At 49.4% G+C, this 26750-nt stretch overlaps 1 protein-coding gene and 2 pseudogenes across 1 annotated transcript, besides 1 other annotated feature; 2 read left to right on the forward strand and 1 right to left on the reverse strand.

Moving 5' to 3' along the window:
* Positions 1–392: 392 nt before the first annotated feature.
* On the reverse strand, positions 393–1413 carry KRTAP5-11 (keratin associated protein 5-11). The gene has a single exon (NM_001005405.3). The coding sequence runs from the start codon at positions 1373–1375 to the stop codon at positions 905–907; it is 471 nt and encodes a 156-aa protein (NP_001005405.1). The 5' UTR covers positions 1376–1413; the 3' UTR covers positions 393–904.
* Positions 12196–12843, forward strand: OR7E87P (olfactory receptor family 7 subfamily E member 87 pseudogene; annotated as a pseudogene).
* Positions 21798–26582, forward strand: UNC93B6 (unc-93 homolog B6 (pseudogene); annotated as a pseudogene).
* Positions 25914–26528: an enhancer, noted in NCBI's record as "H3K4me1 hESC enhancer chr11:71318422-71319036 (GRCh37/hg19 assembly coordinates)". NCBI's record gives its function as "activates a minimal SCP1, AML or CMV promoter by ChIP-STARR-seq in primed H9 embryonic stem cells {active_cell/tissue: H9 hESC(primed)}" and the evidence as "EXISTENCE:reporter gene assay evidence [ECO:0000049][PMID:30033119]".

Here is a 26750-nt window from a genome sequence, read left to right on the forward strand (position 1 = left end):
CGTTGGAGCTCAGCGGTGCTTCACTCCTCCCTCCTCCGACCTTGCCCTGCCTGGGTCCTTCCAAGGCCCCAGAGGAGAGCGGGAAGCTGGAAGCCATGGGTCTTGTGCAAAGCCCTGCTTGGCTGGTCATCAGGACTCAGGGCCCGCCTGCCCCTCTGCGCCTCTAGGGTGGGCATTGAATACCGAATCCTCCCCAGGCTGAGCCCTCTTCTTCTGCAAGCAGAGAGAGTGAAGATATTTGAGGCCGCGTGGAAGGCAGAAGTGAACTTCGTGGTTCTTTTTGAATGCACCAAGCCTGCTGGCAGGCATTTCCCAGCTTAGCTGACAAATTAGAACACAGAATCAGTCACCACACAGGAAAGGGGTTAGACAGAATTGCACCAAGTGTACAGTTGGTTTACAGACATGAGAGGCTTTATTGCAAGGAAATTCATTCATTTTTTTTTTAAATAGATGGAGACAACAGGAAGGAAGGAGACCTTCTTGCTCACAGGTGGGTCACAGGAGAACAGGCAGCAGCCCAGGAGGACCCAGAATCCCAGTGGTGGTTGAGAAACTGGTTCTTAGTGATCACTCAGGAATGTCGGCCTGGCCTTGTGGGGTCAGACCTAGCATCTCAGTCAGCCCAGGGAGAAGAAGAAGATGGTCCACACCCAAGTGCAGGGAACACCATGGCGTCCAGGGAAGAACACCTCCTGCATCAAGGAAACACATGTTTCCGGAGTGAGGAAGCTGAAGGCAGGGCCTAGAGGAGAGCCGAGCCATGGAAAGAGGTGCATGCATGGATGATGAGCTAGAGCAGGTGCAGGTGCCTCAGGATGATGTGTGGGATGAACTGATTCAGAGAAACCATAAGAAATGCTTTCACCAAAGAGGAGAAACCTGAAGGTCTGGGTCCAGAGCCTCAGATCTTACACTGGCAGCACACGGGGACACAGCAGCTGGACTGGCAGCAGCAGGGCTTGAAGCAGCTAGACTGGCAGCAGCTGGATTGGCAGCAGCAGGGCTTGCAGCAGCTGGACTGGCAGCAGCTGGATTGGCAGCAGCAGGGTTTGGAGCAGCTGGACTGGCAGCAGAATGACCCACAGCCTGAGGAGGAGCAGCAGGGCTTACAGCAGTTGGACTGGGAGCAGCCACAAGAACCACACCCACCCTTGGAGCTCCCACAAGAGCCACAGCCCCCTTTGGAGCCCCCACAGGAGCCACAGCTGGAGCAGGAACAGGCTGGCACACAGCAGCACACAGGCTTGCAGCAGCAAATGGGCACACAGCAGCTGGAGCCACAGCCCCCACAGCCAGAGCCACAGCCCCCACTGCCGGAGCCACAGCCCCCACAGCCAGAGCCACAGCCTCCAGAACAGCCACAGCAGCCCATGATTCTGGCGGATTGAGAGTAGAGCAGGTAGAGGAGCAGGTGAGAGGGAGGTGCAGGTGTGGAGCCCCCTGAGCCTGGGCTCTTTATATACCTGTCCAGAGGTCAGGGAGGACGCAGGGTCCTTTCCTTGTGACTGTTTACACTATTTTTCCAGAGCTCTATTTTTTTCCTCTTTGCTAGTGACTTCCTCCTGGCTCAGTTGAGCATCTACTTTCTTTGTTTTCTAAATTTGTCTTCTTCCCCATTTGTTTTGGCCCCTACAATTAAAACCTCAGCTCCAGGCTGGTCTGGTGCTTCCCGCAAAGTTCCAGGGTGCTGGTCACCCGCTCTCTGCTGACCACATGTGACCAATGGGCAACAGCCTCTGCCCACATGCTCTCATCTTCCCTGTCTATCCCTCCAGATAATATTAATTTTATGTTTTTAGATTTCAAAATTCACCCATGGTCTTTATAGGAAACACAAGTAAAGAAGAAAACAAATTCTTTATTATCATGTATCCTGGAGATGGATTTGGTAGATTTCTGCAAGCATAATATTAATATAAATATTCATGCATATTATATTAAGTAATATTTTACTCATGCCAGTCTCAGTTTTCTGGGTGTGTTAGACCGTTCTTTGCATTGTGTAAAGAAATACTTGAGGCTGGGTAATTTATAAAGGAAAGAGGTTAGAATGGCCATGGTTCTGCAGGCTGCACAAGCATTGCACCCATCTCCGCTCGGCTTCTGGGCAAGCCCTCAGGGAGCTTTTCCTCATGGTGGAAGGTGAAGCAGGAGCAGGCACGCCACATGGTGAGAATGGGAGCAAGGGGTGAGGAGGGGCCACACACTTGTGAACAACCAGATCTGAGTGAACGCACTCATCACCAAGGGGATAGCGCTAAACCATTCATGAGGGATCCGCCCCCATAATTCAAACATCTCCTATCCCGCCCCACCAATGTGAGAGTTGGAGGGGACATCCAAATTGTATCAGTGGAGATCCTTTTTTTTTTTTTTTTTTTCTTTTTTTGAGACAAGGTCTTGCTCTGACACCCAGCCTGGAGTGCAGTGGCATGATCATAGCTCACTGCAGCCTCTAACTCCTGGGCTTAAAGAATTCTCCTTCCTTAGCCTCCTGAGTAGCTGGGACTATAGATGTGTGTCATCATACCCAGCTAATTTTTAAATTTTTTGTAGAGATGGGGTCTTGCCAAGTTGCCCTGGCTGGTCTCAAACTCCTTGTCTGCAGTGATCTTCCTGCCTTGGTCTTCCAAAGTGTTGGGATTACAGGCATAAGCCACCATGCTCAGCCAATTTTTTTTTCCTTTACGGTCCAAATAACAATAATATAATCTCATTTTGGTGTTTGCAGGGAATCTCTTCCTCTACTCAAGCATTTCTGAAAATCCCACAAATCTCTCTGCTGTTGTTTTCTCTCTTCCCCATTTACAGTGTTCACTCCTCTTAGGCTGCTTCTTCCAGTTGCCCACTTTTGTTCCCTGCTCAGTTTTACTCCAGGTGGGAAAGAGAGATTTCTCTATGCCATGGTCTGCATGTGTCCCCCAACATTCATGTGTTGGAAACATCATCCCCAATGCAAGAGTGTTGTGAGGTGGGTCCTAAAGGGAAGTGCTTGTAATGGATTAGTATACTATAAGGACTTGAGGGCAGGCCTCTTGCCCCCCTGGCTCTTAGGACCCCCATCGCAGGAGGGCAAGGCGCCCCCCGCGATGCGGGGAGTAAGAGCCAGCCCGCTTGCCTCCCTGGCTCTTAGGACCCCCATCACAGGGGGGCGAGGCGCCCCCCGCGATGCGGGGCATAAGAGCCAGCCCCGCCTGTCCCCCTGGCTCTTAGGACCCCCATCGCAGGGGGCGAGGTGCCCCCCGCGATGCGAGGCGTAAAAGCCAGCCCCTCTTGCCCCCCTGGCTCTTAGGACCCCCATCGCAGGGGGGCGAGGCGCCCCCCGCCATGCAAGGAGTAAGAGCCAGCCCCTCTTGCCTCCCTGGCTCTTAGGACCCCCATCGCAGGGGGGCGAGGCGCCCCCCGCCATGCAAGGAGTAAGAGCCAGCACCTCTTGCCCCCCTGGCTCTTAGGACCCCAATCGCAGGGGGCGAGGCGCCCCCCGCCATGCGGGCAGTAAGAGCCAGCCCCTCTTGCCCCCCTGGTTTTTAGGATCGGCGGTGGACTCACAGCCTGTTTATCATATTGTGAGTAATATCATCTCCCCCTCTGGAGATTATGAACCGTTTCACACACCGGTGTACACCGTTTGTGTACAGAGGTTGTACACCCGTCTGTATTGGGAGTCATATCATCCTCTTCCTCTCTGAATATTAGGAACAGTATCACAGGGGTGTTCCTACTCCCTGGGATATCAGGTGTCATGTCCTCCTCTCCCACGTTGCAATTAGAAACGATATCATTGCGGGCTTGTCCACCTTCTGTGATATTGAAAGTAATATTATCCTCTTCCCTCCAGGATCATGGGAACGATATCCTTGGCGGCGTCCACTTTCTACCATATATGTAGTCATATCACCTCCTCCGATTTGGAATATTTTTGAGGACCATCTCACACGGGGGTGTACACTTCCTGCGATGTTTGGAGTAATAGCATTCTCTTCTTCCATGAATATTAGGAGCAAAATCACCGGGTGGATGCACACCCAGTGCTATATTGGGAGTAACGTCATACTCCACCCCCTGGAGATTATATTCGGATCAATATCACTGGCTGGGTTTACACCTACTGCGATATTGAACGTAATATCATGCTCTCTCCCTCCCTGGACATTAGGAGCAATATCACAGGTGGGTGTACACCCACTGAGGTATTAGGGCATAATATTAGTATGAATTATTCCTCATTTATTATTAACATGAATATGAATGGCCGATATTAATACTAATATTAAGAAATAATTTCTAATAAAAAGTTTTCAGATTATTGTTAATATTAATTATTAGGAGCCAATATTACTGTTTTCTAATGAATAAGATCAATATCAGTTATTAATATCAGGCGTCATTAATCAATATTAATCATGCATTGTTATCATTAGTATAACTATTTAATATTAATTATCATTATCGGTATTGATTTTAAAAATTATATTATGGGTTATTAATATTGATAATTATTAGTGTCCATTAACAATTGAGATTATTAATTGCAGTAAGTCATTGCGCCATTCCACCCCTCCCTCGGCAGCTTGTTTATGACCCAAAATGGGGACACAAATGCCCCTGAGAGAGCAGCAGTATACTGGGATAGATGAGGATGGTCAAGTGCTGGAGAGGCGTGTTTTTGGCTACCAGTCCTTCACCTGCGTCGATCTTCTCAACTGGAAAAACAATACACCGCCCTATAGCGAAAAGCCACAAGCCCTAATTGATTTGCTCCAAGCTGTTATCCAGACCCACGACCCCACCTGGGCTGATTGGCACCAGTTGCTCATGTTCCTCTTTAACAGCGAAGAAAGGCGGAGAGTCCTCCAAGCAGTAACTAAGTGGCTAGAGGAACACGCACCAGCTGATTATCAAAACCTCCAAGAGTATGGAAGGACCCAGTTGCCAGGAACCGACCCCCAGTTGGACCCACATGAAAGAGAGGAGATGCAAAGGCTAAACCGAGACAGGGAAGCTCTCTTGGAAGGATTAATGAGGGGAGCTCAGGAAGCCACAAACGTTAACAAGCTCTCTGAGGTCATTCAGGGAAAAGAAGAAAGTCCAGCACAATTGTATGAGAGAGAATTGTGGGAGGCCTATCGTATGTATACTCCCTTTGATCCCGATAGCCCTGAAAATCAGCGCATGATTCACATGGCTTTAGTCAGTCAAAGCGCAGAAGACATGAGAAGAAAACTGCAGAAACAGGCTGGGCTTGCAGGGATGAATCCACCACAATTACTAGAAATAGCTAGCCAGGTGTTTGTAAACAGGGATGCAGTAAGCCCTAAGGAAAATGGCAAAGAGAATGGAAGTCAGGCCCGGTGACACGACGACCTGTTTGTCAGCTGCAGCAATCAGAGGGGCCCCCCCAAAGAGGCAAGGGAAGGGGGGCCCTGGGAAAGAAACTCAGCTTGGCTGTCAGAGTTTGCAGCATAACCAGTGTGCTTATTGTAAAGAAATAGGACAGTGGAAGAACAAATGCCCTCAGCTCAAAAGAAAACAAGGTGACTCAGAGCAGGAGGCCCCGGACAAGGAGGAAGGGGCCCTGCTAAACCTGGCAGAAGGGTTATTGGACTGAGGGAGACCCGGCTCAAGCGTTCCCAAAGAGCCTCTGGTCAGAATGACAGTCGGGGGTGGAGACATTGACTTTCTTGTAGATAGCGGTGCTGAACATTCGCTAGTAACCGCCCCGGTCGCCCCCTTATCCAAAAAGACTATTGATGTCATCGGAGCCACGGGGGTTTCAGCAAAGCAAGCTTTCTGCTTGTCTCAGACTTGTACTGTAGGAGGACATAAAGTCATTCATCAGTTTTGGTACATGCCTGACTGTCCCTTGACCTTTTCGGGAAGGGACTTGCTCAGCAAGCTGAGAGCCACTGTCTCTTTGACAGAGCACAGCTCTTTACTGCTAAAGTTACCCAGAACGGGAGTCATTATGACCCTTATGGTCCCCCGAGAGGAGGAATGGAGACTTTTCTGAACTGAGCTGGGCCAAGAGAGAAGACCAGCTCTGGCTAAGCGGTGGCCAAGAGTACGGGTAGAAGACAACCCTCCGGGATTGGCCAGTTAAGACTGGGGCCCAGCCGGTGAGGCAAAAATAGGACCTGGTCCCCAGAGAAGCCCTTCAAGGTATCCAGGTCCGTCTCAGGCACCTAAGAACTTTTGGAATTATTGTTCCTTGTCAGTCTCCATGGAACACTCCCCTCCTGCCTGTTCCCAAGCCACGGACCAAGGACTACCGGCCGGTACAGGATTTGCGCTTGCTTCATCAAGCTACACTGACTTTCCATCCAACAGTACCTAACCCGTCCATATTGTTGGGGTTGCCGCCAGCTGAGGACAGCTGGTTCACCTGCTTGGACCTGAAAGACGCTTTCTTTCCTATCAGATTAGCCCCTGAGAGGCAGAAGCTGTTTGCCTTTCAGTGGGAAGATCCGGAGTCAGGTGTCACTACTCAGTACACTTGGACCAGGCTTCCCCAAGGGTTCAAGAACTCCCCCACCATCTTCGGGGAGGCGTGGGCTCGCGACCTCCAGAAGTTTCCCAGCAGAGACCTAGGCTGTGTGTTGCTCCAGTAGGTTGATGACCTTCTGCTGGAACACCCCACGGCAGTCAGGTGTGCCAAGGGAACAGTTGTCCTACACTGGCACCTGGAGGACTGTGGGTATCAGTTGTCCAAGAAGAAAGCTCAGATCTGCCGACAGCAGGTAAGTTTCTGGGGATTGACTATCTGACAGGGGTCGGAACGCAGCCCGGGATCAGAAAGAAAGCAGGTCATTTGCAATCTAGCAGAGCCTAAGAGCAGAAGGCAGGTGAGAGAATTCTTAGGAGCTGTGGGGTTTTGTAGACTGTGGATCCCAAACTTTGCTGTATTAGCCAAGCCTTTGTATGAGGTCACCAAAGGGGCGGGGACTGGGAACCTTTGGAATGTGGATCCCAACAACAGTAAGTCTTTCATGAGTTAAAGGAAAAACTTCTGGCAGCGCCAGCCCTGGGGCTACCTGATCTGACAAAGCCTTTTCCATCGTATAATCAGAGAGAGAAAAGATGGCAGCTGGACTTTGAACCCAAACTGTGGGGCCCAGGCCTAGGCCGGGGTCCTACCTCTCTCAACAACTAGACTGGGTCTCTAAAGGATGGCCCCCCTGTTGGAGGGCCTTGGCAGCAACTGCCCTGCCAGTACAAGAAGCAAATAAGCTGACTCTTGGGCAAAACCTGAACATAAAGGCCTCCCATGCTGTGGTGACTTTAATGAATACTAAAGGACATCATTGGCTAACGATGCCAGACTCACCAAGTACCAAACTTTGCTCTGTGAAAATCCCCATATAACCACTGAAGTTTGTAACAGCCTACACCCCGCCACCTTGCTCCCGCTATCAGAGAGCCCTGTCGAGCCTGGTTGTGTAGAAGTGTTGGACACAATTGACTCTAGCAGACCTGACCTCCGGGGCCAGACTTGGGCATCAGTAGACTGGGAACTATACATGGATGGGAGCAGCTTCTTCAACCCCCAAGGAGAGAGAGGTGCAGGATATGCAGTGATAACCCTGGACACTGTTGTTGAAGCCAGATCGTTGCCCCAGGGCACTTCAGCCCAGAAAGCTGAACTCATTGCTTTCATTCGGGCCTTAGAACTCAGTGAGGGTCAGACTGTCAACATTTACACTGATTCTCAGTATGTCTTTTCAACCCTTCAAGTGCCTGGAGTGTGATAGAAAGAAAAGGGCCTATTGAACTCTGGGGAAAAAGACAGAAAATATCAACAAGAAATCTTGCAATGATTAGAAGCAGTATGGAAACTCCACAAGGTGGCAGTTATGCATTGCAGGGGACACCAGTGAGCTTCCACCTTGCTGGGTTTGGGGAATTCCCGCGCTGACTCAGACGCTCGAAAAGCAGCATCTGCCCCCTTCTGGGCATCAGTGCTCCCTCAAGCACCTGATCTTGGACCTACTTCTAAAGAAGAAAAGGACTTTCTCCAGGTAGAGGGAAGGACAAGTGATGGAGGAAGGATGGATTCGGTTAGCAGATGGGAGAGTAGCTGTGCCACAGCTGCTAGGAGCTGCAGTTGTACTGGCTGTGCAAGAAACCACCCATCGAGGTCAGGAGTCACTGGAAAAGTTGTTAGGCTGGTATTTCTACATCTCACCTTTGTCAGCCCTTGCCAAAACTGTGAGGCAGCGGTGTGTTACCTGCCGACAGCATGATGCGAGGCAATGTCCAGCCGTTCCGCACGGCATATGAGCTTATGGAGCAGCCCTCTTTGAAGGTCTCCAGGTGGACTTCACAGAGATGCCAAAGTGTGGAGGTAACAAGTATTTACTAGTTGTTATGTGTACCTACTCTGGGTGGGTGGAGGCTTATCCAACACTAACTGAGAAAGCTCGTGAAGTAACCCCTGTGCTTCTTTGAGATCTGATTCCTAGATTTCGACCGCCCTTATGGATCGGCTCAGACTACGGGCCTGCGTTTTTGGCTGCCTTGGTACAGAAGACGGCAAAGGTATTGGGGATCACACGGAAACTGCATGCCGCCTCCCGGCCTCAGCATTCCGGAAAGGTGGAGCGGATGAATCGGACTATCAAAAATAGTACTATTGTCTTCCCCACTGGATATGTAAAACAACACCACAAGCGGCGTCAAATGACCTGCTAAATTTGAGGGAATGTTATCCTCTCCCCCACTCCCCCGGCCCCAGATATTAGAGACAATAACAAAGGGGTGATGTACACCCACTGCTTTATTGGGAGTAATATCATCCTCTCCCTTCCTGGATATTAGGAACAATATCACACTGTGCGTGTACGCCTGTCGCGAAATTCAATGGAATGTCATCCTGCGCCTCCCTGGATATGACGAACAATATCACGGAGGATGTACAACTTCTGAGATTTTGGGAGTGATATCATCCTCTTCCCTCTGGAAGTTAGGGACAATATCACAGGGGTAGTGTACACCCTCTGGGATGTTCGGACTAATATCATCCTCCCGCCCACTGGATATTAAAAACCATATCACAAGGGGCGTGTACACACACTTCGATATTGGTATGAATACCAACCTCTCCCTCTTTGCATATTCGGTGCCATATTTCAGGTGGGGTTTACACCACCTGCAATATTGGAAGTAACATGATTTTCTCCCCCCCGGATATCAGAAACAATATCACAGGGGGTTGTGAACAACCCCTGCGATATTTGGAGTAATATCATTGACTCCCCTCACGATTATTAAGAACAATATCGTAGTGGTGGGGGATGTACACCCCCTTTCATATTTGATATCATCCTCTTTCCCCCTGGACATTAGGAGCAATATCAGGAAGGGATGCACAGACCCTGCGACCTTTGCTGTCATAGCATTGTCTCTCCCCTAGATATTAGGAAAAAATGTCACTAGCGATGTGAACAGCCCTGCGATATTGAGAGTAGTTCCATATTGGGAACAACATCACAGGTGGGGTGTACTGCCTCTGTGATATTGGGAGTGAAATTTTCCTCTCTTCCCCTGCACATTAGGAAGGGTATCAGAGGGGGAGGGTGTACATTCCCTGCGATATTCAATGTAACCTTATCCTCTCCCTCCCAGGGTATTCAGAACAATATTACAGGAGGGGTGCACACCCTCTGTGATATTGAGAGTCATATCATCCTCTTTCGCTCTGGATATTAGGAACAATATCACAGGGTTGTGTACACCCCCTGCGATATTGGGAGTCGTATCATCCTTTCTCCCTGTGGATATTAGGAAGAGGATCACAGGGCTATGGAAACCCCCTGCGGTCCTGGGAGTAATATCATCCTCTCTCCCTCTGAAAATAGGAAGATTTTCACAGGGGTGTGTACACCCCCTGCGATATTGGGAGTAAGATCATCCTCTCCACCCAGGAAATGACTAACAAGGTCACGAGGGGGTGTACTCCCCCTGCGATATTGGGAGTAATGTCGTCCTCCCCAAACCTGGATGTTAGCAACGAGCTCACAAAGGGGGTGTACACACCCTGCGACATTGGAAGTAATATGATCCTCTCCCCACCTGGACACTGGGAAAGATACCACAGCGCGGGTATACGTTTCCTACGCTGTTGGGAGTAATATCATTCTTTTCCTTTCTGGATATTAGGGAGAATATCACAGGGGTGCTGTACAATTACTTCGACATTGGGAGTAACATCATCCTCTAGTTTCCTGGATATTGGGCACAAAAACACAAAAGGGTGTACAACCCCTGCGATATTGGAAGGAATAGAATACTCTCCTTCCCTGGATGTTAGAAAACAATATCACCATGGCTGAACACCCCCCACCATAATGGGAGTCATGTTTACTCTTTCGCAGGCCATTTGGAACAATATCACAGGGGGTGTTTACAAACGGGGTGGTGTACACCCCCTGTGATATTGGGAGTAACATCATTCTCTCCACCTCCGGATATTAAGAACAATATCCTGGCGGGAGGTGGTACACCCCCAGTGATATTGGGAATAATGTCATCCTCTCCTTCCCTGGATATTAGGAACAAAATCACAGGGGGGTGTACACCTTCTGTGATATTGGAAGCAATATCATCCTCTCCCGCGCTGGATATTAGAAAAAAATATCACTCACGGTGTACACCCACTGTGATATGAGGAGTAATATCTTCCTAGGGTATTACGAATAATTTCACAGTCTGTACACACATGGTGTACACTCACTGTGATATTAGGAGTAATATCTACCTAGTAGATAACAAATAACATCGCAGGGGGTACACCCACTTTGATATTAGCTGTAATATTTTTCTAAGTTGTTACAAATAAGATCACAGAGTGTACAAACATGGTGTACACTCACTGTGATATCAGGAGTCATATCTCTGTAATACATTATGAATAATATCACAGGGTGTACACCCACTGTATTATTAGGAGTAATGTCTCTGTAGGATATTACAATTAAGATCACAGGGTGTAGAGCAACCATGATATTAGGAGCAATATCTTTCTAGGATATTACAAATAATATCACAGGGTGTACACCCACTCTGCTGTCAGGAGCAATATCTCCCTAGGATATCAAAAATCCTATCACAGGGTGTCCAATCTCTGCCTTCTAGGTTCTAAGGGATTCTCCTGCTTCAGCCTCCCGAGTAGTTAGGGTTATCCGCCACCAGTCCCGGCTAATTTTTTTTTTTTTAATTTTCACTGGAGACGGGGTTTCACCACGTTGGCCAGGCTGGTCTGGAACTCCTGACCTCAGGTGATCCATCAGCCTCGGCCACCCAAAGTGATGGGATTACAGGTGTGAGCCATGGTGCTGGGCCAAGAGTTATAGATTCAATTCATTTGGAAACACAGCTCCCATCTTTGAGTGTGCATGTACCTTTATGAAGAAATGATGTCAGAAAACCGAAGGATGATGATAAATATGAAAAGTAACAGGCATGGGAAAAGGTCTTCCGATTGAGAACTATAACGTTTGATTTCGTTTTCAGATAATGGGGTCCTAGCTCTTGTGTCGTCCTTTTACATATTCTACATCAATGGAAGTTGTAGCACGGTGTCAGAATAAAGTACAGTGTATTTCACGGCTTCTTAATTTCTTTCAATTAGACTGAGATCTTTTTCTTAAAGAGAGAAGGACATTGTCATTGCATTGTATTTTTTTCTGAAAAGGGTAGGCCGTATTTTACTGAGATCAAGGATTTGTTATAAGACGTTTTGGTCTTCTAATATTCTTCAGTGGATTTTCTCTAAAGTAGTATGTACAGAAAGCCTTGTATAGCAAAAAAGTAAATCACGTAATAATTCTGAGATTTTTTTGGAATTGTCACAACTGAGAAACATTGCTGGTGGTGTATGGTCCGCAAGTGTGAAAATGTTCCTTCTGAATTACTTGCATCAAGCATTAAGAGCTGGTTTTTATCTTTTATTTTTCCAATCCTCTTTCCTTCTCAAGGTGTCCAAGACACACAGAGCCACGGAATCTCACAGGTGTCTGAGAATTCCTCCTCCTTGGACTCCCAGAGGATCCAGAACTGCAGCCGGTTCTCGCTTTGCTCTCCCTGTCCCTGTCCATGTATCTGGTCACGGTGCTGAGGAACCTGCTCATCATCCTGGCTGTCAGCTCTGTCTCTCCCCTCCACACCCCCATGTACTTCTTCCTCTCCAACCTGTGCTGGGCTGACATCGGTTTCACCTCGGCCACGGTTCCCAAGATGATTGTGGACATGCAGTCGCATAGCAGAGCCATCTCTCATGCGGGCTGTCTGACGCAGATGTCTTTCTTGTTCCTTTTTGCATGTATAGAAGGCATGCTCCTGACTGTGATGGCCTATGACTGCTTTGTAGCCATCTGTCGCCCTCTGCACTACCCAGTCATCGTGAATCCTCACTTCTGTGTCTTCTTCGTTTTGGTGTCCTTTTTCCTTAGCCTGTTGGATTCCCAGCTGCACAGTTGGATTGTGTTACAATTCACCATCTTCAAGAATGTGGAAATCTCTAATTTTGTCTGTGACCCCTCTCAACTTCTCAAACTTGCCTGTTCTGACGGCGTCATCAATAGCATATTCATATATTTTGATAGTACTATGTTTGGTTTCCTTCCCATTTCAGGGATCCTATGGTCTTACTATAAAATCGTCCCCTCCATTCTAAGGATTTCATCGTCAGATGGGAAGTATAAAGCCTTCTCCACCTGTGGCTCTCACCAGGCAGTTGTTTGCTGATTTTATAGAACAGGCATTGGCATGTACCTGACTTCAGCTGTGTCACCACCCCCCAGGAATGGTGTGGTGGCATCATTGATATACGCTGTTGTCACTCCCATGCTGAACCTTTTCATCTACAGCCTGAGAAACAGGGACATACAAAGTGCCCTGCGGAGGCTGCTCAGCAGAACAGTCGAATCTCATGATCTGTTCCATCCTTTTTCTTGGTGGGTGAGAAAGGGCAACCACATTAAATCCCTACATCTGCAAATCCTGCCCCTTAGTCACATTCTTTTTGTGGCTTGATGGCTTTTATTCCTTTCCGCATTTCCTTTGTGAATATTGCTTTCTTCGTTATGCCTTTCACTGGAATGGATGAGGATTCTGGGATCCTTTGTTTAGCAGAAACCTCATGACAGAATCCTCTATACCTAGGCGGCCTCTTTTAGTTTCTGAGCAATAACCCTGTCATCCAGGTGGAATCACAACCATCTTTTTATATACTCGAAGTCCTCACTTCGTTTTGGAATTCCCTGAAAACTGACTTTATGGAAACAATGTACAGGAGGTCCTCCAACACCATTGGTTGTTCAAAGTTGTGTAGTTATACTGTTGATGAAAAATAAGTGGTTTCACTATACATAATTTGCTTCAAGGTGAAGTTTCCAACAGACTTTCAAAGATGTTAAGTGAGGACATACTGTACATCAAATTCATATCCTCTTCCACAGTCCATGTGGAATTTCTTTATAAACTGCTTCTAGAGAATCTATTTAGGCAGGTTCTGTGTAGAGATCCATGTCGCCGTTCCTCAATCTTGGCTTTGAGTCAACTCACCTGGGGAGCTTACAAATGATGAGGCCTGGGTCTCAATACCTGAGATTCTGATTTCCTTGCACCTGTGTGAGTATGTGGATTTTTTTTTTTTTTCTTTTAAAGCACCAGAGGTGGTTCCAATGACGAAGTTTTTAGGGGCATCAAGCTCCAATGAATAAGAACAGAAATTAATTGTAATATGATTTCTTCAAATATTATCTTTAAATGCATTGTCCATCAACACCATACAAACGTTTATTATGCTGTTTTTTCTTAACATTTCGCATTTTCTGTTTCTTTCTTTTCCTTATTTTTTGAGGCAGAGTTTCACTCTTGTTGCCCAGGCTGGAGTTCAATGGCACGGTCTCGGATCACTGCAACCTCTGCCTCCCCTATTCAAGCAATTCTCCTGTCTCAGCCTTCCAAGTAGCTGGGATTACAGGCATGCGCTACCATGCCTGGCTAATTTTTTTTTTTTTTTTTTTGTATTGTTAATAGAGACAGTGTTTCTCCATTTTGGTCAGGCTGGTCTTGAACTCCCGACCTCAGGTGAACTGCCCGCTTCCGCCTCCCAAAGTGCTGGGATTACAGGCATGAGCGACTGCGCCCAGCCACCACTTATCATTTACCTTTTACATTTCTTGAAGTTACAGATTTATACACACATTGGTTGCTGCTTTGTTATACACTTGCATATACATAAGATGGGAAATAGAAAACAATAAAATGGGCACAGTATCCCTGAAGTTTCACATTCCGAGACATTTTAAAAATATTTGCTCTTCAGAAATTTGTTTCAATGAAGAAACTGTGGTATACACAACCAGTGAAGTATTATTCAGCCTAAAAAGGAAGAAAATCCTCTCCGCTGCAGACAAAATGGATGAGATTGCAGGTCTGTATATTAAATGAAATAAGCCAGGCACAGAATAACAAATATTTCATGTCCTCACTTCTGTGTTTGAAGAAAAAAGGAAACCTTGGCCAGGTGTGGTGGCTCAGGCCTGTAATCCCAGCACTCTCGGAGGCCCAGTCACACGGATCACTTGAGTCCAGGAGTTCGAGACCCGCCTGGACAACATGGTGAATCCCCGTCTCTACGGAAAACACAAACAATGAGCCGAGCGTGGTGACGCGTGCCTGTAGTCTCAGCTACTCAGAGGGCTGAGGCCCAAGAACCGCTTGAACTCGGGAGGCGGAGCTTGCAGTGAGCCCGGATTGTGTCTGCGTACTCCAACCTGGGCAACAGAAAGAGACTCCATCACACACCTATACACAAAAGGAATCTCAGGAAGGTGGAAAGTATGAAGGTTGTTAGCAGACGCTAGGAAGGAAAGGGATGGGATAGGGAATGAAGACAAGTGGATAATTGGGTCCCAAAATACAGAAAGATGGAATAAGTGAGTTCTAGTGTTTGATAGTACAGTATGAAAATTTTAGTTCACAAGAATTGTTGTATATTTCCAGATGCTTTGGTAAGAAGCTTCCTAACTTTCTCATTATGCTGATTTTTAAGCTCTTCTCTTTCTGCTCTTGAAATCATGCTGGGTTTTTTTGTTTGTTTGTTTTGAGATGGAGTTTTGCTCTTGTTGCCCAGGCTGGAGTGTCATGGTGCAATCTTGGCTCACCGCAACCTCTGCCTCCTGGGTTCTAGTGATTCTCCTGCCTCCACCTCCCGATTAGCTGGGATTACAGGCATGAGCCAGCACGCCCAGCTAATGTTGTATTTCTAGTAGAAACGGGGGTTTCTCCCTGTCGGTCAGGCTGGTCTTCAACTCCTGACCTCAGGTGATCCATCCGCCTCGGCCTCCCAAAGTGCTGGGATTACAGGTGTGAGCGACCGCGCCCGGCCCATGCTGTATCCTTATCTGTTGTCTGTTGTTGTTTGTCTGTTTTGGAGCCCAGAAATAACTTCTCACTATATGTTCAAATGATTTTTCACATGAGTGCTAAGAAAGTTCATTGGTGGAAAAGCAGCCTTTTCAAGAAATGGTGTTGGAGAAACTTGATTTCCACATGCAGAAGAATGAAGGTGGACCCTATGTCACACCAGGTGCAAAAATTAACACAAACTGGATCAAAGACCTCACCCCAAGCACTAATAGTATCATATGCCTAAAAGAAAACATTGGCCACGCTTTCATGACATCAGATTGGGCAATGTTCTCTGGGATATGACACCAAAAGCATAGGCAACAAAAGAAAATTAGATTCCTTGGATTACATCTAAATGACAGACACTTTTGTGCAGCAAAAAACACTGCGAACTGAGTGAAAAGATAACCCACGGATTAGGAAAAACATTTTTAAAGCGTATATCTGAAAAGAGGCTGATATCCATCACATATAAAGAACAGCTAGAACTAAACAAAGAGAAACCCAAAGTATTCAATCAACAATGGTCAGAAGACTCGAGTAGACGTGTGTCTAAAGAAGATATAGCAATGGCCAATAAGCATCTAAAATGATGTTCAAAATCACTCATCATAGGGAAGCGCAAATCAAACCAAGAACGTGATACCACACATTAGGATGGATATGATAAACAAACAGGCATTGGTGAGACTAAAGGGAAGTAGGAATGCTCGAATCTGATCGCAGGGAATGTAAAACCGTGAAGGAACGGGGAAAATAGTATGGCGTGTACTGGAAAAATTAGAAACAGAATGATCAGATGTTCCCGCAGTTTCATTTGTGGGTACCTACCAAAAAGATTTAGAAGCCAGGAGTGGAAGACAGATTTGTGTACACCCATATTCATAGCAGCATTATTCACAACAGCCAAAATGTGGAAGCAACCCAAGGGTTCGTGGACAGATGAATGAAAAAGCACACTGCAGTTCCTTCATACAATGGAAGACTATTCAGCCTTCAAAAGGCAGGCACTTCTGGCTGGTGCGGTGGCTCATGCCTGTAATCGCAGCGTCTTGGAAGACCGAGGTGAGCGGATCACCTGAGATCAGGAATTCAAGACCAGCCTGGCCATCTTGGTGAAACCCTGTCTCTACTGAAAATGCAAAAAAATGAGACGATCGTGGTGGCGTGTGCCTATAGTCCCAAGTACTCGGGAGGCTGAGGCACAAGAATGGCTGGAACCCGGGAGGCGGAGGTTGCAGTGAGCCCAGATTGTGCCACTGCACTCCAGCCTGTGCGACAGAGTGAGACTCCATGGAAACACAAAACAAAACAAAGTCAAACGAACAAACAAAAAACAAAACAAAACAAAACACAGACAGGCACTTCTGACGCAGGCCACAACATGGAAGAACCTTGAAAACATTATCGTCAGTGAAATAAATGAATACCAAAAGGATAAACATGCCCAGGCTCAGTGGCTCTCCCCTGTAACCCCAGCACTTTGGGAGGCTGAGCCAGGTGGATCACTTCAGGTCAGGAGTTCGAGACCAGCCTGGCCAATATGGTCTCTATTAAAAATACAAAAATTAGCTGGGCGTGGTGGCACACGCCTGTAATCCCAGCTACTCTGGAGACTGTGACACAAGAATCGCTTGAACCCACGATATGGAGGTTGCAGTGAGGCGACATCACGCCACTGCACTCCAGCCGGGGTGACAGAGAAAGACTCTGTTTCCAAAACAAAAAAATTAAATACGGTATGATTCCACTTATCTATTAAGTGTCTAGAGTAGTTAAACTCATAGAGTTGCAAACTAGAAAGGTGGCCCCCAGGGGTGGGCGAGAGAGAGGAGTGGAGAGCTTGGTGAATGGGTGCAATTTCCATTTTGAAAGATAAAACTGTTCCGGAGAGGATGGCGGTGATGGTTGCTAAACAATGTGAAAGTACTTAATGTCATGAAACTGCAAACTGAAAAAGCGTGGAAACTGTAAATGTTTATACTGGCCAATCTATATGAACTAATATATATTTATAATTTTTCATATTTATACGTGGTATATTTTCCCATAATAAAAGATGAAAACTAAAGCAGTTGGATGTTTAAAAAGAAAAGAAAGAAGCGAAGAATACACACCAGCTTTCTCCTGATTCGAGGAAGAGCCCCAAAGCTTCTATGGACACTCACTTTTCTCTTCTTCTTCTTGCATTATTATAAGGAAATCCTTAGAGGTTGGGGAACTTGGGTGACTTTGGCTAATAAGGAGCTCTGTGCCTTGAGCCCCCCAGGCCACAGAATAGTAAATAGTCAGTCTGTGCCTCCAGCCCTGCAGTGTGAGGTTCCAGTCCTGTGGGCTCCACTCCCGTCACCTGTATCAGGAGGCTCATGTCTCATCCTGTCTTCTTGCCAGCCTTGAGGATGGAGTCTGAGCCTCCATGGTGCACCACACAGGGAGGACAGTGGACCTGTTCTCCGTGGTCATGGCCCAGCAGAGGGGAAGGGCAGTTCAATGAGTGCAGGCAAAAGAAAGAACAATCAGACTGTTACTGTGTCTATGTAGAAAGGAAAGACATAAGAGACTCCATTTGGAGAAAGACCTGTACATTCAACAATTGCTTTGCTGAGATGTTGTTAATGTGTAGCTTTGCCTCAGCCACTTTGACCCAACCTGAAGCTCACAAAAACATGTGTTGTATGAAATCGAGGTTTGAGGGATCTAGGGCTGTTCAGGACGTTCCTTGTTAACAAGATGTTTCCAAGCAATATACTTGGTAAAAGTCATCACCATTCTCTAGTCTCAATAAACCAGGGGCACAATGCACTGTGGAAAGCCGCAGGGAGCCCTGCCCTTGAAAGCGGCGTATTGTCCAAGGTTTCTCCCCATGTGATAGTCTGAAAAGTGGCCTCATGGGAGGAGAAAGACCTGACCATCCCCAAGCCCGACACCAGTAAAGGGTCTGGCTGAGGTGGATTAGTCAAAGAGGAAAGCCTCTTGCAGTTGAGAGAGAGGAAGGCCACTGTCTCCTGCCTGCCCCTGGGAACTGAATGTCTCGGTATAAAACCCTATTGTACATTTGTTCAATTCTGAGATGGGGGTAAAACCGCCCTATGGTGGGAGGTGAGACATGTTTGCAGCAATGCTGCCTTGTTATTCTTTACTCCACTGAGATGTTTGGGTGGAGAGAAACATCAATCTGGCTTACGTACGCATCCAGTCATAGTACCTTCCCGTGAACTTCATTATGACATAGATTCTATTGCTCACCTCTTCGTTGCTGACCTTCTCCTTATTATCACCCTGCCCTCCTACTACATTCGTTTTTGCTAAAATAATAAAAATAATAATCAATAAAAACTGAGGGAACTCAGAGGCCTGTGCCAGTGCAGATCCTTGGTATGCTGAGCGCCGGTCCCCTGGGCTCACTGTTGTTTCTCCATACTTTGTCTCTGTGTCTTATTTCTTTTCTCAGTCTCTCATCCCACCCGACTAGAAATACCCCCAGGTGTGGAGGGATGGGCCACCCCTTCAAGTGAGTGCTGAGGGACGGTAGGGAGCCTTGTTTTGTTTCCTCCTCAGGACAAACAGGAGAGTGAGCTGGGCAGATGGGAGGAGACCAATGTGCAAACTATCCGCTCAGCAGAGTGTGGAGTTTCTGTTCTTGGTTGTGCTGGGGGTCTCAGAAATCTACTTCAAAATTTTGCTACCCTCCCCAACTGGTTGTCCTTTTCATAGACATCTCACCCACGATAGCAGGGAATGAGTCCCTCTAAACTATTCCTTCAGGAATAGTAAGAGCCAGCCCCTCTTCCTACCCTGGATTTTAGGACCCCCATCGCTGGGGGGTGAGGCACCCCCCGCGATGCGGGGAGTAAGAGCCAGCCCCTCTTCCCCCCCTGGTTTTTAGGATCCGCAGTGGACTCACAGCCTGTTTACCACATTGTGAGTAATATCATCTCCCCTCTGGAAATAATGAACTATTTCACAGACGGGTGTACACCCGTCTGTATTGGGAGTAATATCATCCTCGTCCTCCCTGAATATTAAGAACAGTATCACAGCGGTGTTTCTACTCCCTGCGATATTGGGTATCATATCCTCCTCTCCCACGTTGCAATTAGAGACAATATCAGTGGGGGCGTGTCCACCTTCTGTGATATTTAAAGTAATATCATCCTCTTCCCTCCAGGATCATGGGAACAATATCCCTGGGGGGTGTACACTTTCTGCGATATATGTAGTCATATCACCCCCTCTGCCTTGGAATATTACGAAGGACCATCTCACACGGGGGTGTACACTTCCTGCGATATTGGGAGTAATATCAACCTCTCGGCCTCTTAATATGAGGAAGAATATCACAGGGTGGGTGTACACCTCCTGCTCTATTATGGGGAGTCATATCTATCTATTATGGGGAGTAATATCATCCTCTCCCTTTCAGGATATTAATAACAATATCACAGGCTGGGTGAACACAGCCTACGATGCTGGAATTATTGTCACCCTCTCCCCCTCGGGATACTAGGAACAATATCACAGAAGAGGTGTACACTCCCTGCGATATTGGGAGTAATATACTCTTCTTCCGTGAATATTAGGAGCAATATCACCGGGTGGCTGTGCATTGATTGCTGTGTTGGCAGTCATGTCATACTCCACCCACTGGATATTAGGATCAGTGTCACAGGGTGAGTGTACACCTACTGCGATATGAAAACTAATATCATGCTCTCCATCCCTGGATATTAAGAACAATATCACAGGTAGGTGTACACCCCCTGCGGTATTAGGAATAACAATATTATGAATTATTAAACATCAGTCTCATTAATGATTATCAATGGTAATATTAATTAATAGTATAACGTTATTAGTCATTAATGATTATTTTAAAGATATGATTATGCATGATTAAAATAATTCTTACTATTAATGCCATTTTAAAAAATATTAGTTATTAATATTAATATTAATCATTGTTTTATTACCAACATCACTTATGATGGATTTAAGTAACATTAATTACTGATATTATTATTTTATTATTAATATTGATGTTGCTATTATTAATTGTAATCATTAATATTTTTAATCCACATTAAGTTTTACTGTCTCCACTGTAGTTATTAATATCGATGATTACTATTAATTGTTATTATACTTATTAATATTAATAATTAATAAAACTGTTCCCGATATCCGTGGGGGAGAAGATATGTCTCCCAATATCGCAGAAAGTGTACACCCCTCTATGATGTTACTCCTAATAGCCAGGGGGTAGAGGATGACATTATGGAAAATAGCGCAGTGGGTGTACATCCCTTCGGTCATGTTGTTCCGAATATCCTGTGTGGGAGCGGATGTTACGACTCCCAAAATCGCAGTGGGCGGAGACCTCCCCCGTGATACTGTTCCGAACATCCAAAGGTGGAGAGGATGATATTTCTTCCAATTTCGCCGGGGGTGCACACCACCCCTGTGATATTGATCCTAATATCCAGGGGGCGAGAGGATGATATTAGTCTGAATATTGCAGGAGGTGTACACTCCCTAGGGATATTGTTCCTAATATCCAGGGACAGAGAGGATGATATCACTCCCAATATAGCAGGGGGTGTACACCCCTTGTGTGACATTGTTCCTAATAGGCAGCGGGGGAGAGGAAGATATCACCCCCAATATCGCAGAGGGTGTGCACACCCTTGTGACATTGTTCCTTCTATCCTGGGAGGGAGAGGAAGATACTAGCGGCAATGTCGCAGGGGCTGTACACACCCACTGTGATATTGTTCCGAATATCTGGAGGGGGAGAAAATGATGTTACTTCCAATATCGCAGGGGGCGTACATGCTCCTGAGATATTGTTTCTTAGGTTCAGGGGAAGAGGATGATATTACTGCCAATATCGCAGGGGTTGTACATACCTCCCGCGATGCGGGGAGTAAGAGCCAGCCCCTCTTCCCCTCCTGGCTCTTAGGACCCCCATCGCAGGGGGCTGAGGCACCCTCCGCGATGCGGGGAGTAAGAGCCAGCCCCTCTTCCCTCCCTGGCTCTTAGGAACCCCATCGCAGGGGGTTGAGGCACCCCCCGCCATGCGGGGAGTAAGAGCCAGTCCCTCTTCCCCCACTGGCTCTTAGGACCCCCATCGCAGGGGGGTGAGGCACCCCCGCGATGCGGGGAGTACAAGCCAGCCCCTCTCCCCCCATGGCTCTTAGGACCCCCATCGCAGGGGGGTGAGGCACCCCCCGCGATGCGGGGAGTACAAGCCAGCCCCTCTCCCCCCATGGCTCTTAGGACACCCATCGCAGGGGGGTGAGGCACCCCCCGCGATGCGGGGAGGGCTGAGACTGGGGTCTGGGCTGTTCTGGACTTCAACACTCACCCCTTGTCCCCACGCAGGGCTATGGCGTGTGCTCGGTGGGGCTGGAGCGGCTTGCTTACCTCCTCATGGCTTACAGCCTGGGCGCCTCAGTCGCCTCACTCCTGGGCCTGCTGGGCTTGTGGCTGCCACGCCCGGTGCCCCTCGTGGCTGGAGCAGGGGTGCACCTGCTGCTCACCTTCATCCCCTTTTTCTGGGCCCCTGTGCCTCGGGTCCTTCAACACAGCTGGATCCTCTGTGTGGCAGCCACCCTTTGGGGTGTGGGCAGCACCCTGAACAAGACTGGACTCAGCAGTGAGTATAGCTGTGGGCACTGGGGGGGGCGGGGCAGGGGGCTTTATGGCTATCTGTGGGTGGTTGGCTAGACATAGACATCCCAGGGACACATATTGGGTCCCATGGTCACATAGGGTCCTGTGGACATGGCAGAGGCCGGTGGGGCTTCCTGTGGACACTGCAGGGGTGGAAGGGAAGTCTCATGGACACACTGGGGGCAGATGGGTAGGTCGTGGACACCCTGGAGACAGGTGTGGGGGTTCCACGCCATGGACATTCCATTAATACCCCAGGGCAGGCACAGGGCCCCATCAACACTGGAGGGTCAGTGTGAAATCTCGTGGCTACACGGGGCAGGTGTGGGGTTCTGTGGACACCCCTTAGGGACAGTGTGAAAAACACATCAGGGATTCTCCCTTTTCATACCAGGGGACAGGGCTTACCCTGGCATTGTTTTCGTGACACTTGGAGCAGATGTTTTGGTCTCTGCCTCATGGAGCATGTGGTAGGAGCAAGTGGCCTGTTGTACATCCACGGCATAGATACAGACATGGGCCTTTGTATAGAGAGGAGCAGGCCTGCAGCCCCAACCCAGTCTGCTCAGTACCAGAGTCCAGGCCTCAGTTCTGGGCTGCTGGGGAACAGGGCCCTCTTTGCAGAAGGCAGCGGGTGGGCCCATGTTCAGCTCCAGGATGTTCCCTGCCCACAGATGGGCACACGCAGTGACACACAGCTAGCACACACGGGCACAGTCCTGCGGGGCATCCATGTCAGTGTCTGTTCTGATGGGCCGAAGCTATGAACAGTTTTGAACGTCATCCTTGGGGGTGTGGGGTGGCAGAGGTCATACCTGCTGCTGGCAGGGCAGAGGCTGACTGGGTGTCTCTGCCTGTAGCAGGGGCTGGAGCCTCATACTGCACCACAGTCTCTTGGCCGTTTTGCTCAATGATAGCCAATTCTGGGCAGAGTCCAACCTGGGTATCTTGGACCCATGTTGTGCCCTGTCTGGTCATGGCATCCCCTCTGCCCAGCTCCATATCCCATCTCCACAGGTGAACCCTGGGGGATCCTTGTCTCTTCATAGCAGCACTGTGGGGGTAAAGTCACCCTGCAAGGCCCCAAGACAGGAGTGTTCATGTCCTGAGTGCCTGGTGAAGGTGTTTATAGTGGCCCCTATGATCTGGCAGGTGCCATGCCCTCTTTCTCACTTTAGAACTTCAGAACACAGCACACAATAGGCATAAGCTCATCTCACCATTGGGAAAAGCAGCTCTGGGGAGTTAAGTACCCAAATCACCCACGGAGCCAACATTACAGTCCTGAGAATGAGTGTGCATCTTCTGACTCCCAATCCATTACTCTTGCTGCCCACCCTGGGAGGACTCACTGGAAAGGAAGCCCCCCTCTCCATGCTTAGCTTCAGGTTTGATTTGCAGAGTTGGCAGCTGCAAACAGTTCGATCTCTCTAGTCCCGGCTGAGGAGGAGAAACAGCGCCTGCAAGCTTGGCACTGTACACCTGGGGTTGGGGACAGGACATGACTAAGCACAGAGCTTTCTTCTTTTGAGGCCACGCATGTGGTGCGGAGCGGGACCACCTGCATCCACACAGCCCGGCGCACCTGCTCCTACTTCTGCTTAGCGTGTGAGCAGTGTGGTGACCAGGGTCTCCACCAGGGGGCAGGCCAGGACCGCCTCACAGCACTTTCTAGGCGCTCTCTGGTCCCGGGCTGGGACACATACAGGGCTTAGTAAAGTTCGTAGATGGTAGCTCGGCAGCCCCAGGCCCCAGGTGACACCTCTCCCCTGCCTGCCCTGTACTGCCTGCCTGCAGCACTCCTGGGAGTCTTGTACGAAGACAAGGAGAGACAGGACTTCATCTTCACCATCTACCACTGGTGGCAGGCTGTGGCCATCTTCACTGTGTACCTGGGCTCGAGCCTGCACATGAAGGTGAGACTGGGCAGGGTTGGGGGCCCCATGCCGAATGACAGATACTTCCTTAGCCCCTGCCCTGGCTTCACAGCTTCCTAAACGCCACCCCTTCCCAAGCCAGTCTCTGGGCCAAGGCCCCATTCCTGCAGCCCACTGGGTGGCCCCCAACTCAGCACCTCACTTACTGGCCCACCTCCAGCCAGTCTCAGTTTGCCCATCTCTGAGGGGATTTGTGGGTGCATCACAGCCATCCTGTGGGCTGTTTGGTACCCTGTTCTCCAGATGTTGGGTCTGTCTCCCTTCATGGCCTGAACGGGAGCAGGCTTCTCATGCTCTGCTCCCAAAAGATGGTGGCTCGGTCTAGCAAGTCCCAGTTGCTAAACATTTTTTAAAAATAGAACTAAAGGCTGGGCGCAGTGGCTCACGCCTGTAATCCCAGCACTTTGGGAGGCCGAGGCGAGTGGATTGCCTGAGGTAGGGAGTTTGAGACCAGCCTGGCCGACATGGTGAATCCTTGTCTCTACTAAAAATACAAAAATTAGCCGGGCGTGGTGGCAGGTGCCTGTAATCACAGCTACTTGGGAGGCAGAGGCAGGAGAATCGCTTGAACTGGGAGGCAGAGGTTGCAGTTAGCCGAGACGGGGTCTTGGCACTCCAACCAGCCTAAGCAACAAGAGAGAAACTCCGTCTCAAAATAAAAATAAAAATAGAACTAAAAATAGCAGGGAGTGGGCCGGGAGCAGTGGCTCATGCCTGTAATCGCAGCATTTTGAGACGCTGAGGTGGGTGTATCACCTGAGATCTGGAGTTCGAGACCAGCCTGGGTAACAGGCTATGAAACCCTGTCTCTACTAAAAACACAAAAATTAGCTGGGCATGGTGGCACGTCCCTGTGATCCCAGCTACTCTGGAGGCTGAGGCACAAGAATGGCTTGAACCTGGGAGATGGAGGTTGCAGTGAGCCCAGATCGCACCACCGCACTTCAGCCTGGAGAACAGAGCGAGACTCTGTCTCCCAAAAAAAAAAAAAGAAAAAAAAGAAAAAAGAAAAGCAGTGAGTGGGCTGGGCATGGTGGCTCACGCCTGTAATCCCAACACTTTGGGAGGCTGAGGCAGGAGGATTGCTTGAGGCCAGGAGTTCAAGACCAGCCTGGGCAACATAGGAGACCCTGTCTCTACAAAAAATTTAAAAATTAGCTGGGCGTGGTGGCGCATGCCTGTAGTTCCAGCTACTTGGGAAACAGAGGTGGGAGGATAGCTTGAGCCTGGAAGATTGAGGCTGAAGTGAGCGTGCCACTGGCGCTCCAGCAGTGGGTGGGGGAAGGGAGGGAGGGGGCGCGGTGGGGAAATGGAGCGACTGTGTCTGGAAAAAAGAAAAGAGCAGGAAGTATGCATACAGATATGTGTGTATGTCCTGAGCTATGGTGTAAAATCATTCCTGACTGCGGATTATAGTCAAAACCCCATGAAGAGCATCACTACAGCCCACGGGTGTGTCAGGGACACAGTGTTGTGAGCCCTGGGAAGGCAGGGCCTGTGTCCAGCACTTTATCAACACTGGCGCATGCACCCTATGAGGCGAAGGGATTTGTATTGTTCCCTTACAGCGTGGGACACTGAGGTCGCCAGGGGCATGACGACTGTAAGGGACAGTGCTGGATGTGAGCCTCGCCTGCAGGAGGCGGTCCAGGAAGCGTGGGTGGAGGGGCTGGAGAAGTTGAGGGCCGCGTGGCCCGGGAGGCTCCCGGAGGAGGGAAGGGCCTATCTCAGCGAGGGGCATAGGCGGGGAAGGTGCGGGGCGAGGCGGCCGCGGCTCCCTGGCATCCCTCTCCTTACCCCCAGGCTAAGCTGGCGGTGCTGCTGGTGACGCTGGTGGCGGCCGCGGTCTCCTACCTGCGGATGGAGCAGAAGCTGCGGCGGGGCGTGCGCCAGCCCCGCATCCCGTGGCCCCAGCACAAGGTGCGCAGTTACCGCTACTTGGAGGAGGACAACTCGGACGAGAGCGACGCGGAGGGCGAGCATGGGGACGGCGCGGAGGAGGAGGCGCCGCCCGCGGGGACCAGGCCTGGTCCCGAGCAGGCTGGACTCGGCCGCCGGCCCTGCCCGTAGGAACAGGCGCAGGGGGGCGACTGGCCAGAGGAGCAGTGAGGGGCCGCCTGGTCCACGGACTCAGCCTCCCTCCTCGCCGGCCTTAGTTTACCACTTCTTAGGTCGGGGGGACCCCCTCCGAGTCCCGCGCTGTCTTCAAAGGCCCCTGTCTCCCGTCCCCCACGTTGGGGACGCCCCTCCCAGAGCCCAGGTCACCTCCGGGCTTCCGCAGCCCCCTCCAAGGCGGAGTGGAGCTTTGGGAACCCCTCGGCCAAGCACAGCGGTTCGAAAATACAGCTGAAACCCAGCGGGCCCTTAGCACGCGCCCCAGCGCCGGAGCAGGGTCAGGGTCTTCTTGCGACCCGGCTCCGCTCCAGATCCCCCCAGCTCTCGGCGGCGGACCCGGGCCGCGTGTGAGCGCGCTTTGCACCTCCTATCCCCAGGGTCCGCCGAGAGCCACGATTTTTTACAGAAAATGAGCAATAAAGAGATTTTGTACTGTCCTGACTGGGGAGTCCCAGGCCGCGGGGGACGGAGCGCCCCTGGGATGCACGCCCGGCTGGCCCGGCCTCTGGGCGCGGTGGTGACAGGCCCTGACCTAGGGGGACCGCAGGGTGTGGGGAGTGCGGCGCCCTACTGGGGGCGGGGCGAGGTGTCCGTAGGCCCCGCCCACCA

Source organism: Homo sapiens, chromosome 11 (genome assembly GCF_000001405.40).
Source record: "Homo sapiens chromosome 11, GRCh38.p14 Primary Assembly".
Taxonomy (NCBI): domain Eukaryota; kingdom Metazoa; phylum Chordata; class Mammalia; order Primates; family Hominidae; genus Homo; species Homo sapiens.